This window comes from Homo sapiens, chromosome 12 (assembly GCF_000001405.40).
Source record: "Homo sapiens chromosome 12, GRCh38.p14 Primary Assembly".
NCBI classification, from domain to species: Eukaryota; Metazoa; Chordata; class Mammalia; order Primates; family Hominidae; genus Homo; species Homo sapiens.
The window spans coordinates 90,066,390-90,079,560 of record NC_000012.12 but is presented as its reverse complement, the minus strand read 5'-3'; the positions used below and the strand labels follow the sequence as shown (position 1 = coordinate 90,079,560).

The 13,171-nt window shown below is 39.6% G+C and overlaps 1 long non-coding RNA gene across 1 annotated transcript in view; it reads right to left on the bottom strand.

Moving 5' to 3' along the window:
* LOC105369890 (uncharacterized) overlaps positions 1-13,171 on the bottom strand; it is a 192,148-nt gene that overhangs the window by 32,729 nt on the left and 146,248 nt on the right. Inside the window, exons 9-10 of the long non-coding RNA XR_001749246.2 lie at positions 12,402-12,565; positions 10,719-10,772 (exon numbers count right to left, since the gene is read on the bottom strand). This is a non-coding gene — a long non-coding RNA (uncharacterized LOC105369890). The remainder of the gene's footprint in view (positions 1-10,718; positions 10,773-12,401; positions 12,566-13,171) is intronic.

Sequence of the window (13,171 nt, the reverse complement as noted above, 5' to 3'; positions counted from 1 at the left end):
GAATACAGTTCAGCAGCTATGCTTATTTTAATGCTTCTCTCAACCTACAAACCAAAGGTTAGTGACAAGAGCATAAGTCAGACTGCAGATTCCTTCATTTTTCTGCTTGCACCCCCAAAAAATGTGGTTTTAAAAAATGGTGGCATATTATACTTTTAGGACAGTACTCTAAAGGCCCCAGACATAATATTGATTATTTTCCAAACTCGTTTCACCTAGTTTGCATGTGTTCTTCTTTTATCAGATGAATTTAGAAATGGAATGAATTTAGTCTGCTTGTTTTAAAAGATGATCTCATACAAATATATGACAAATTCTTTAGGGTTTTCTATTTGAATCTAGCTTAAATGTAAACAGGACACATTACTAAAAGTTTTGAAATCAGTTATCAGGAACTTCCTCTGCAGTATAATCCCAGTTAACTAAAACTAAACTACCCTCTGCCCATGCCCTCCAATCCCCATCCCATTTTCCTCAATCCTAGTCCTCAGCCTTGTCTTTTTTCTGCATGTCTACCATGATCTTTAGATTACTGATGTTTGGAATGATCATCTGAGGACGTCATCAAGGAAGATCAAGTAGCATTTAATAACCATATTTCCAATGATAAGAAAGCTAATAACATTTTGTAATGCCAATTAAATAATAAGTACAAAAATAAAAATAGCAATAGAACTCACTCTTAAACAACCAGAGCTCTGGCTAAACAGAACAACCCATTTACCAAGAAATCTGGTTAATCATATTTCTAGTGCATTTCATACTTAATTCACAAGGTCAGGCATATCCTGCTGTCTCTGATGTTAATTTTGGGTTGATTCATGTATAAACAGGTATTACAGGGAAACCAGGCCAAGTGTTCCTGCAGAAAGCCAGTGGATTTTTATGTCTCTTCTGCCCACGTGGAGGGAGGCAGGAGGGGATAGAGAATAAAACGATGCATATAGACCTCTGGGGTTAAATGTCAAATTCTACCAAGGTTCAGTTCACACTGCTCCACTTATTCAACCTGACTACATCATAGCAAAGAGCACGATGCCATGAGCCACATGTAAATACTCTATTTTCGAGCTGTCAGACATTTTTGGTGGTTCACCAGCCTGACCTTCAAAATCATGTTAGTGACATTTATTTCAAGCCTAAAAGTTTCATGCCAGAGAATTTAAACACTGTAAGCATAGAAGTGGTGAGCTCTTACATCAAAGTTCAAATATCTACTTAAAAACAAAAAATAAAAAAAAAAAAACTTGGTCTTACCACTTAATTTTAAAATCTATCATTTTATAACCAGGGAAAAGGGAAAGAAAAAAGCAGAGAAACTAACCTTTTATTTCATGACATCAAATTATATGAAATTTAAAACTGAAGCTAGGGCACTAATTTTTTTTACATATAAATAGATTTCAAAAATTAGTTAAGGTTTAGTTTTACAATGTTGATTGTTCCACATGAGGCAAGTCTTTTTTTTTCTTTTCCTGTATGTGTTTTCCATTTATTTTGTGTTCTCAGAAGCATCTAAAAAACTCGGTCATAAAAGTAAAGTATACAGTGTGGAGTTTTTTCTAAATACCTCAAGTGTTTTTGTAGCCAAAACTGTCTGCCGTCTTTCCTTTGGAGAACCACGAACCCTGAGTTACTCTCTAAATGAGGCAGACAACTATCTTTCTTCAGCGATGCCATTCTAGAAAATTGGGTTATATTTTGTCAAAGTAAACTATATAATACATTTGCAGAGGAAAAAAAGAAAAAAAGAAGACAATGTGGCTGGGCATGGTGGCTCATGCCTGTAATCCCAGCTTTGGGAGGCTGAGGCAGGTGGATCACCTTAGGTCGGGAGTTCGAGACCAGCCTGACCAACATGGAGAAACCCCATCTCTACTAAAAATACATAAATTAGCTAAGCGTGGCGGCACATGCCTGTAATCTCAGCTACTCAGGAGGCTGAGGCAGGAGAATCACTTGAACCCAGGAGATAGAGGTTGCAGTGAGCCGAGATTGTACCACTGCACTCCAGCCTGGGCACAAGAGTGAAACCCAGCTAAAAAAAAAAAAGACAATGCATCTATATCTCAAGTAATGGAAGGTAAGCCCTTCCAAAGATTTCTCCAAATATTTTGTCCCTCTTCAACTTTCAACTCTGATTACACTTCCAAACAGGTCAACAGTAAACATGTAGAGACTTTCTAATGGTTTATATATACCAGTCTACTTAAACAGCTGTATTTTGAGGAAAAAATCTTGTCTTTATCTCCTTTTGTATCTCCTACAGACAGCGCTCTGCCAGGAAGTATTTAAGAAGTACTTGTTGAAGTAATTTTTCTTCAAAACCACAAAGCTACACACACATACATGCATGATACAAAGTTGCCCTACGGAGATAGAAGGGGGCTGATTTTGTCACATAGCAAGGATGATCCATCTAAAAGAAAGAGGCTCAAGAGCTGAAAGTGAATCTAAGAGGTACTTCTCCAGGCACTAAGAAACTGTCACAGTACTATCCATAGAGTGGAAAACAATGAAGTACTCGTTGACAGTTGCACTTAACACCTGCTGGCCCACCCAGCTAAGTGGGCCAGCAGAGTAATGCAATTATCCAGGTGACTCATGGAAATAAGCCATTTTTAGCTGAAATATCTAAGCAGCTCAAGCTAAAGTAGGTTGTTACCTAGGTCATTCAGGCAAAAGCAGGTTGTTTTGTTTAAATTTTCTGGTGGTAGGGGAAAGCGTGGAGGCAAACTGAACAAGAAGTTCAGCAAGAAGCTCTCTCAAAACCTCAGAATTGCTGCTTGTGACATGCCAGGTAGACTCCATGTGATACTAAAAGGAGAAGGAATTAACATTTTAGTTGTCTTTTATTCTACTGCATGCACACACAGACATAGTTTTAATTTGAAACCAGGAGCTTTTGATCTTTAGAAGAAATGAACTTTTATCATCAGTGATCAGTGACAAGAACTCTCTTTTCTGATACAGGGTCTCACTCTCATGCCCAGGCTGGCATACAATGGTGTAATCATAGCTCACTGCAGCCTCAACCTCCTGGGCTCAAATGATCCTCCTGTCTCAGCCTCCCAAATAGCTAGGACTATAGGTGCAAGCCACCATACCCAGCTAATTTTCTAATTTTTGTAGAGGTGGAGACTTGGTATGTTACCCAGGTGGTATTGAACTCCTAGGCTCAAGCAATCTCCCTGCCTCAGCCTTCCAAAATGCTGGGATTACTCTCCTGATTATTAAAATTATGACTGTTCAAGCACTGAAAAGCACTTCAAAGACATCAGTTCATTTAACAACAGGTCCTGACACAAAAACCGTAGTAAAGTTTCTGATCCTTGTGGAAAGAAACATTTAAGGCCAGTGCTGTTCGTGTCGAATACATTTGATGCTCATGAGTCCTTACACATGCTACTAAAAGGGGGATTGATGGCAGCCACTGGGGGAGTTCTGCGCTGGCACAGAGCTTTCCCATCTTAGGGTCTGCCCAACCTGTTTCCCTACTTGTCCATGGTATTTCCTGCCAGGGTCAGAACCATTTTGCTTTTCTGGCTCTCTACAGCAGCATTGCTTGGACTTGTGTCTCAGTAGGATGCTCTATGTTTTATCTGCATGCTCTTCTCACTGTAAGCTCTAAAACCACAGGCTGCACCAAAGAAACCATTGTGCTTTTCCAGACCACAGCAAGCTCAGCTTCAGTGAAAAGGGACAGAGAGTGATACAACAGGGTAGGGCAGTATGAATAAGATGCTCCAAGGAATAAGGACATTCAAGCTCTAGAGACATCTCTTGGCCACAGATCAGTTCTACTGTTAACCCCTTGATAGTTAGTGGTCCACAGTATAGACTCTGGAGTCAGGCTAGACAGACATAGGATTCCACTTCTTTCATTTACTAGTGAAAAAACTTTTTAAAAATTTCTTTAACCTCTCTAAACCTCAATTTTTTCATCTGTAATATCAAAATAACTATAAAAACAGCATTGATTGTTTGTTGAGAAGATCAGATGAGATAATGTCTGTAAAGCACTAAGCATAGGGATGGTACATAATCCACTTTCCAAAATGGTGACTACTTGATCACTACCATCATCACTTCCTTCTCAGTGCTTTAGGACTTGTCCCGCTTATTACTCTTCATGAGTAGCATCCACTCCCTGGAACATCACAAAAGGAAACCCAAGTGAATAGTTTTCCACTTTCTTTTGCAACCCCAAATTAAATTCATGGCATGATTGACATTTTCTAAGATATTTAACTAGTAGTAATATTAAGAAAACCAAGAATAAAATTCCTTCAACCTATGAGCTGGTCTTCATCTTTTTGGTGTTTTTGATCCCTCTGACACAATCATAGCCATTCATGAATTTGTATGGCCAGATTTGGAAAGGCTAAAAGACTAAAGGAAAGAGTCATCTTCAGTGATAAAACAAAGGCAAGTTGTATTGGACATTTAATTAATGGATTGGCATCCTGGGGATTGGAGTTCAGATTATCAAGATGAGATAGAAGGAAGGAGAGAAGGAGGAAGAGGAGGAGGAGGAAGAGAAGGAGGAGGAAGAGGATGAAGGAGGAGTAGGAGGAAGAGAAGGAGGAGGAGGAAGAGAAGGAGGAGGAGGAAGAGAAGGAGGAGGAGGAAGAGAAGGAGGAGGAGGAAGAGAAGGAGGAGGAGGAAGAGAAGGAGGAAGAGGAAGAGAAGGAGGAGGAGAAGAAGGAGAAGGAAGAGAAGGAGGAGGAGAAGGAAGAGGAGGAGGAAGAGAAGGAGGAGGAGGAAGAGAAGGAGGAGGAGGAAGAGAAGGAGGAGGAGGAAGAGAAGGAGGAGGAGGAAGAGAAGGAGGAGGAGGAAGAGAAGGAGGAGGAGGAAGAGAAGGAGGAGGAGGAAGAGAAGGAGGAGAAGGAGGAGGAAGAGGAAGAGAAGGAGGAGGAGGAAGAGAAGGAGGAGGAGGAGAAGGAGGAGGAGGAGGAAGAGGAGGAGAAGGAGGAGGAGGAGGAGATTCTAGATAGTGATAGCAAAGAAGAAATTAGAATCCTGATGCCACTAGACATATTTCTTAAAACAAGAGGGAGACGTGGTTGTCTAGAAAGCATCAATGTATCTAAAATGTAAGAGAGTTATTTTATAAAAAGACTGTCCTGGAAAATCTGGACTTTGGTGTTACTACCATTGCGACAACAAATCCTTTATATATATTAGAGTTTGGACTGCCTGTGTTTAATCTAGTATGAAGCCATTTTCTATGAGACCTCCCTATTCATTTGCATTGAGTCCCCATTGCTAGTTGTCTGAACCAGGTGTTCAGTTAACATTATTAGCCTTTAGAAATTTCACTTCTCTTTTAGAAGTGAAAAATCTGTGATTTATGTTTTTTATTTTTGTACATAGTGGCAAACACATTTTGATATTCACCTCAGTTACATCACGATTATATATTAGGGTATTTTTAATTAAAAAATTATCAGGTTACATTTCTGTTATTTGGTATTTGGTCACTGATAAGAGATCTGCCACTTCTAAATTCCAATATGACAGATAACTAAATCCAGCAGATTTGCTATTTATAAATTCTTATCCATCACAATGACTTCAAGCTAAGAAGAATGCGGTCCTTCAATTACATACAAATTATCTTCTCTACTATCTGCAAAAGAAATTAGAATAAAAAAATTGAAAAACTGTGTCTTCAATTAAAAAAAACCCTGAAGGAAGATTACTTCTATAATCAACAATATAATGCTTTATTAAAATCCCATTAAGCTGTACTGTTTATCATGTTGCTCCACTGCTTAAAGCCTTTCAACTACTCCCACTTTCTTTCTGCCAAGTTCGTGATGCCCAGTAAGATTTAGTCCCTCCATATCTCTCCAAGCTGACATTTTGCCAATCTCTCCCATGCTTCTTCTCTCCCTTTCTCCAGCCACACAAGCCTTCATTTGATTCTATCAAAGAACTAAATCCCTTTCTACCCCAGGCCCTTTGCATGTACAGATATCTTTACTTAGGTGCTTACTTCTCAGTTCATCCCATCCCCTACTTTTCCATTACCCTACTGCACAGGCTCCTAGATCCTGTGCTTACCCATTATAGTAGATGTTCATAATCACAATTAATCCACTATTGGAGTACTATCTCTCTCTCTGATAGACTCAGATTTTCAAGAAAGTAGATACTTTATCCTTCATTACTATATCCTCTGCTCTTAACAAGAAAGCACATAATAGGTGCTCACTAAAAAGCAACCAGCTGATGGAATAAATAATATAAATTTTAGTGAAACCTATCATATTATATTGCCCACATTTACAACTTCTTCCTTGCTTATCTGAAAGTATCATAGCCCTTCTATGTAGCTGGAACTCTTTTATAGGTACCTAGAGGGAGCAAATGTCAATAGTCCTTTTTTTAAGTCCCAAAGGAAATGATTACTGTAACAGATTATAGTGGACAGAACTACCTTGACTCAGATCTGTTTCACATGAAAGGATCCAGTATTTTTACTAAAATTCCTTGGCTCTCTGTCTGTCCATTTCAACTGGAATTCTCTCTACTCACCTAACCAAGCCCATGAAAGATAAAATACTTTTCAAAGTCGAATGTTCATTTTTTTATCTTTAAAAAGGAAAATACTGACAACTGAGAAACTGGTTCCTTATAAAATTCTTATCCATTTTCCCTCTTTCATTCTCTCTATGTAGTTATGATGTCACGAATTCAACTCTAGTGCCCCATCAAGTGCTGTAGCCAAGAACTAGAACTACTTTGCAATTGCTCAAATTATAGTGAACATCAGATAAAGCATTTGCTATCTCCTGTTCTCTATTTTTGGGGGCCACAAATAACTGAGCACAAGCAGTGCTACCCACTGCAAGCAACACAATTCATTCTGGAGGTTTGAATGTGGGGAGAATAGTCTTGCAGTTTCAGGAATGTGCTAGTCACATAAGTTATCTTCTTAACAATCCAAGTTGACCAAAATATCGTGAAACTAGCCAAGATTCTTCTTGTGAACAGCATCTTCCCACCAAAATGTCTACTATACAGTGGTGCTATTATTTGCCATCCATGTCTGGTTAGCACTAAAATAGAAAGGTAAAGCAATCATTTCTTGTGAGACTTCTTAAAACTATTTGCACAATAATCAGACAACTCTCAAATGGCCTGTCCCAAGATTTAAGACACAAGATTCTTTCAAATAAATAAAATGGAAACACTATTTCCGACAGCCCAAAGAGAGGTTTGTTGATACTGGTTTCCTTCAAGCTGTCCTGTGATCAAATCGAGTCACACAGCGTAAGTGTCTTCCTAGCCTCAAGAAAGGGTTAGTTCAGGGAGCAATACAGTTTACACAGGATCAGTTGCCAAAGTGTGAGCTTCGGCTTGGCTCCACTTCTCTTATGAAAGGAAACAATGCAAAGTCTCCTGACGTTGGAGATTCGATTAAACCCGATTCAACTATTTAGAACGTGACTACCCAGAATGAAGTAAAATGGAAATATAGTTAATTTGACTAATGCAATCACTTTTGCTCCTGGGCCTCAATCCCCTCCCTCTCCCACACACACACACACACACACACACTTTTACCTCATTAACTCATATTTAAAGACACAGCTCAGGCTTCTTTTTCTCAGTCCACCTCCTACCCCCTATTCTGGTAGGATGCCTCTACTCGGTGTTCCATAGAACCGTGCTCACTGCTATCACATGACTTACAATTTGTTTTAAGTTACCTGTTTCTTTTCCTTTTGCCTTAAAAACACTGTGAGCTGCTTAATGGCAGAAATCTTATTTCATTCATCCTTATATTTAAGCACTCAGTTTTGTTCCTGGCCAATAACTATTTGATACAAGAATGAATTGAGGAATTATACTAAAAGATTCACTTTGGAGTCTCAAAACAGCTAACAAGGTAACTTTCTTAGAACTGACAATATCTTTTTCCTGTTATCCTGAAATCTACAGCCTGAAAGTACAAACTGAGATTACTGACTCCACTTAACTTTTTGCAGATGCTGTAACTTCCCTCCAATTCTTCCATGGAAAGTGCTGCTCCCTAGTATCCACTTAGCCTGTCACATCAAGGAGTCAGAACATGCTCCTCCTGCTTTCCCACAGCTGTTTCCATGCCTCTCATCCACTGTCTTGTCATTTCCTTGAAACTCTCCATCCACTGGCATTGCTCTTATCCACTGTATCCAGCATCTACCAACATTCAGTGCAGCCCCATATATTCTCTCAGGACATTGTTAATTGGTTTATAGTTGTATTAGTCCATTTTCACACTGCCAATAAAGACATACCCAAGACTGGGTAATTTATAAGAAAAAAGAGGCATAATGGACTCGCAGTTCCATGTGGCTAGGGAAGCCTCACAATCATGGCAAAAAGGTGAAAGAGGAACAAAGGCACATCTCCCATGGTGGCAGGCAAGAGAATGTGTGCAGGGGAACTGCCCTTTATAAAACCATCAGATCTCATGAGACTTGTTCACTATCACAAGAACAGCATAGGAAAAACCCACCTTTGTGATTCAGTTATCTCCCACTGGGTCTCTCCCATGATGTGTGGAGATTATGGTAGCTATAATTTAAGATGAGATTTGGGTAGGCACACAGCCAAACCATATCATAGCTATTCTCTTCTGTAGTCTCCCCCATTATCTTAGGCAACTCCACTACCAACACTGAAAAATCATCTAAGTGCCCAATTCCTCAACCTCCTCTGCTTCGGTGTCTTACATCCCAGCACTAAGTCTTGATTCTTTGATTTACTTGCCTCCTCCTGTCTGTCTTCCCCTGCATAGGAATGCTGATTAGGAAAGGGAGATATGATTGTGTAGATACAGGGCTTTCCCTGAGGCTAAGAATCCTAGGCAAAACAGAAATTGTCTATGAGCCATGGAACAAAGGGAAATAGGTCATTCATCTTGGGCAAGGAATACCAAGAAAGTAAATATGGGTTCAAAATATCAAGTACAGTGAAAAAAGATAAAATTAGTCTGAGTGGTAAAAATCTAGAAAAATAAGGTAGAAGTAGTCATGGTTTTTAGCACTCCCTCAGTTGCCAAAAAGACCTGGTAACTGTCAATTTTTCAACTTACTCTCACATTCGCCCTTTCACCCTCATATCCACCTTTGGAGACAAGCCTGACTCTGCCAGACAGTCTTAAGACTTTTGTGATGCAGAATGAAAGGAAGGGTCTAAAGAGCCAGGAGAAAGAACTGGGGAAAATTGGTAGGAGGAGTATGAATAGGGCTGCTCTCCTTGAGGGCTAGATTGACAGCAGAGAATGGTGGGGTGGGAAGTAGAAGGCTCCAGCAGTAGCCTGGAGAATTGAAAAGGAAAGAAAATAAATGCAAAAATCAGATCCCCATATGTCTTCCGAGGAATGCAAATGGAATTCCTCAGTGTGTGTGTGTGTGTGTGTGTGTGTGTGTATGTGTTTATCTGTACTTCACTTTAGACCTGAACCATGTAGGTCACAACCTCAATTAACTTACTTTGTAATCCAACATGGAGTTTTGGTATCAGACAGTGGACCAGAATGAGTGAGGACATTTAGGATGCAGAGTATTCCATGGAGTGGCCAGCTCCTGAGTGAGCAGAGAGCTGAGAAGGCACAGAACCAACTTGGGCAGACTCAACCTCCCACTACTGCTAGTTTGCAGAGTACTAATCCCTAACCTGGATCAACCCAACCATCTGTTTCTGTGGGCTTGCTCCCAAACTACCAAATGCAATTGGAGAAAATTGGCGGAAAAACAAATTTACAATTTTCAAGCTCAGCTGGACTATCCGTATTGCTCAGCAATTCTTTCACTTATCCATGATTGGTTCCTTTTTCCATTTTCAATAGCAGCATTGCCAATATGTTATCTTCTTTTTCAGGACTCCAACCCACTTTCTCCATTCATGCATACAATTCAACAACCATTTATTGAGCACTTACTATATTCTGAGTACTTTTGTAAGGGTTTGTAGATGATAAAAAATAGTCAAAAATTCTTCATCAAAAAGGCAGAGTCTGTTTCCCTACTTCCCAAATGTGGCCAAGCTACCTGATTTCCTTTGGCCAATACAGTGCATCAGAAATAATGTTGCACTATTTTCAAGAAAGGTCTCAAGAGTCCCTGCAACTTCCTCTCACCCTCTTGGAACTCTGATATCACCAGGCTCTGAAAGCCCCAATATAGGCTCCTTGAGAATGAAAGACAACATAGATGGAGACAAACAGTCAACTCAGCCATCATAGCTAAGCCCAGCCACCAGTCAACCCACCACCTAAATACAGCCACCTGAGGGAGCCGAGGTGAGACCATAGGCTAGGCCACGGAATTCACTATTAGTGATTTATTATGCAGTACTTCACTCTGGCCTGTGAACTCCTCGCCTAGTCCACCAAACGTGAACTTTTGGATGTATGTCTAGTCAATGTGACTTCTGCTATGACAGAAAAACACCGAAATCATAGTGGTTTTACATAATAGCAGTTTCTTTCTTTCCCTTTTAAGTCTAATCAGCTGCTGACTGGCTTCTCAAGATTGCTGCATTCCATCGTTTAGGAACCCAGGGTTTACCATTTGGTGTCTCTATCTTCTCTAAGTCCTCAGAGTCCCTTCCATTCAACCAGAAAATGGGAGATACTTAATGGGAGGCAGGCAATATATGAGAGAGGAAGTAGAAGATTACATGAAAATTTGTTAAGGATCAGGAGTGAAATGCCATACCTCTGCCCACATTCTCTCATCTTGACAAGTGCATCTGAGAAATAGTCTATATGCCTAGGAAGAAAAGAGGACTCGTTTTAGTGAACATATAGCAGTCTCTGCAATTATCTACCCTTTGTCATCAAGTGAGTATTTCACTCTTTATTTCAAACATTAACTGCCTCCCCAGAGAAGACAACCTAGCAATTCATCCAATCATTTTAATCAGCTCAAAGTTCAAGATCCCTGGCCCAGATGCAGTATCTTCCCTTAGGTCTGAGAGAGGTTTTTATGGACCAGCAATTTATATTCTAAAAAAAAATCTCCGAATGATGGAACAGGGAAAGGATAGTTGCAATAAAAATTCACATTTGGGGCCAGACGCGGCGGCTCACGCCTGTAATCCTAGCACTTTGGGAGGCCGAGGCGGGCGGATCACAAGATCAGGAGATCGAGACCAACCTGGCTAACATGGTGAATCCCTGTCTCTACTAAAAATACAAAAAATTAGCTGGGCATGGTGGCGGGTGCCTGTAGTCCCAGCTACTCGGGAAGCTGAGGCAGGGAGAATGGTGTGAACCCGGGAGGCGGAGGTTGCAGTGAGCAGAGATCCTGCCACTGCACTCCAGCCTGGACAACAGAGGAAGACTCCCTCTCAAAAAAAAAAAAAAATTATATTTGAAAAAGGAAAGAGTGAAAAACATACAGCAGTCACCAGTTCCTAGCAATTCTGAAATTCTGCTGGGTGGGCAGGAAAGCCCTTTGCCCTGGAGTAAGGAAACATCCTAGATTAGACTGATTTTATTCTCTGAGAAGAACTCTCTTGTCCATTGTTTTACACTGGCCCTAGATCCACTGTCTCTGGAATATTCTTCCTTGTCCATTATCCTCCACGGCTACATATAAGATAGGCTTTTGGGAATATGCCTTCTTTGACAATGTTAGCCTTTGTAGGAACTTCCTGCTAGGGCAAACATTGAACCCATAGTTTGTATTCAGGTTTGAAAAAATCAAAGTCTTTTATTTTTTACTTTAATCTCAAGAATTTTTAGCAGCACAATTCACATAAAAACTTAGTAAGCTTCTGATCTATTTGCTTTCAGTCCCTTCCAAATAGTAGTAGCCTAACAATTCTTTCCTCCATATAAGTCTACAGCCTACATATTTCTTCGCATCTGTGTATTTCTTTGTTATCTCACTTTCTTGTTATTCTCTTTCATACATTAATGGCAGGTATCTTTAGCTTATCTGAAACAAAAATTTCTCTAAGTGGAATGTTAGCATAAGGCTGAGGCTTTTCTTTGAATGAAAAGCCTTATTGGACCTCTGATGCCCAAACTCTTTCTCAGTTTTCTCTCTCACTATTTGAGATATGAAAGCACTCAACTTTGCTAACCCTCATAAGACCTCTGGTTTCTTCCCATTTCCTTCTAACTTTGCTTTAATATCAGCCTATTCTTGCCTAATCTCATTTCTTTCATGTACCACTTAGGGCAGCTAATAGTGGCCAACATACACTCTCACTTTGACCCTTTTCAACAATTTCCTCTAGCAACAAAGTCAAGGTCCTTCAAGGTCTGGCTCCAACACCCTTTTCTGTGTCACTCTACTCCATTATTTATCATGTCCATCAATCCTGTCTATGATCCAGACCTCTGAGCTGTTCCCTGCTTCCCAGACATCCCATGTCCTTTCACATCACACCTTTGGCTTTGCTGATCTCTGGTGATTAAAAATTCTGACATAAGTTTAAGGTTCTGCTTAAATATATCTTCTCTGAAGTTGTCCACAGCCATGTCTCATCCAATAACTTCAGTCAAAATGAGTTTCTTCATCCTCTGCTGTCCCAAAACAATTTGATTTTAATCCTAGTAGAATATAGAATAACATTATTGTTATAGTTTATAAAATTATTTTTGTCCCTCAACTTAACTCTTTACCATGAGTTACTAAAAAAGAAGCATTTGAGGTTACATAATTTTGTGTCCATGGTATATAATATTGATAGCGGGAGCTCAGTTAATGTTTGTTAAAATTAAATAGATGCATAAAAAGTTAACAGTATTCTAGTCAATTGAATAATTCTGCCCACCCACATATCCTCAATCACCATGACCAAATCAAGTATGCAACAATCTACCCTGATGATTAATTAGGCCAAAATAACCGAGCCAGGATAGGACAATCAGATCATTTTGCAATGAGAGAACCATTCTAATTTTTTTCAGAGTATTAAAAGAGAGAAGTTCCTAACAATGCACAGATGGCCTAAAAAAGCTAATGCACTCCATCTCCAAAGAGCAGACACTTTATTTTCTTGTTGCCACCAAGACAAGACTCATTATCTAATTTTGTGCATCTGTCTTAAAGTTATTTTATAAGTACAGACCGTTACTTTAAAAGGACAATTTTTGGTAACTGTTTAGAACTACTTCATCTAAATGCATGTAATCATGAAAATGTAATGCATTTTC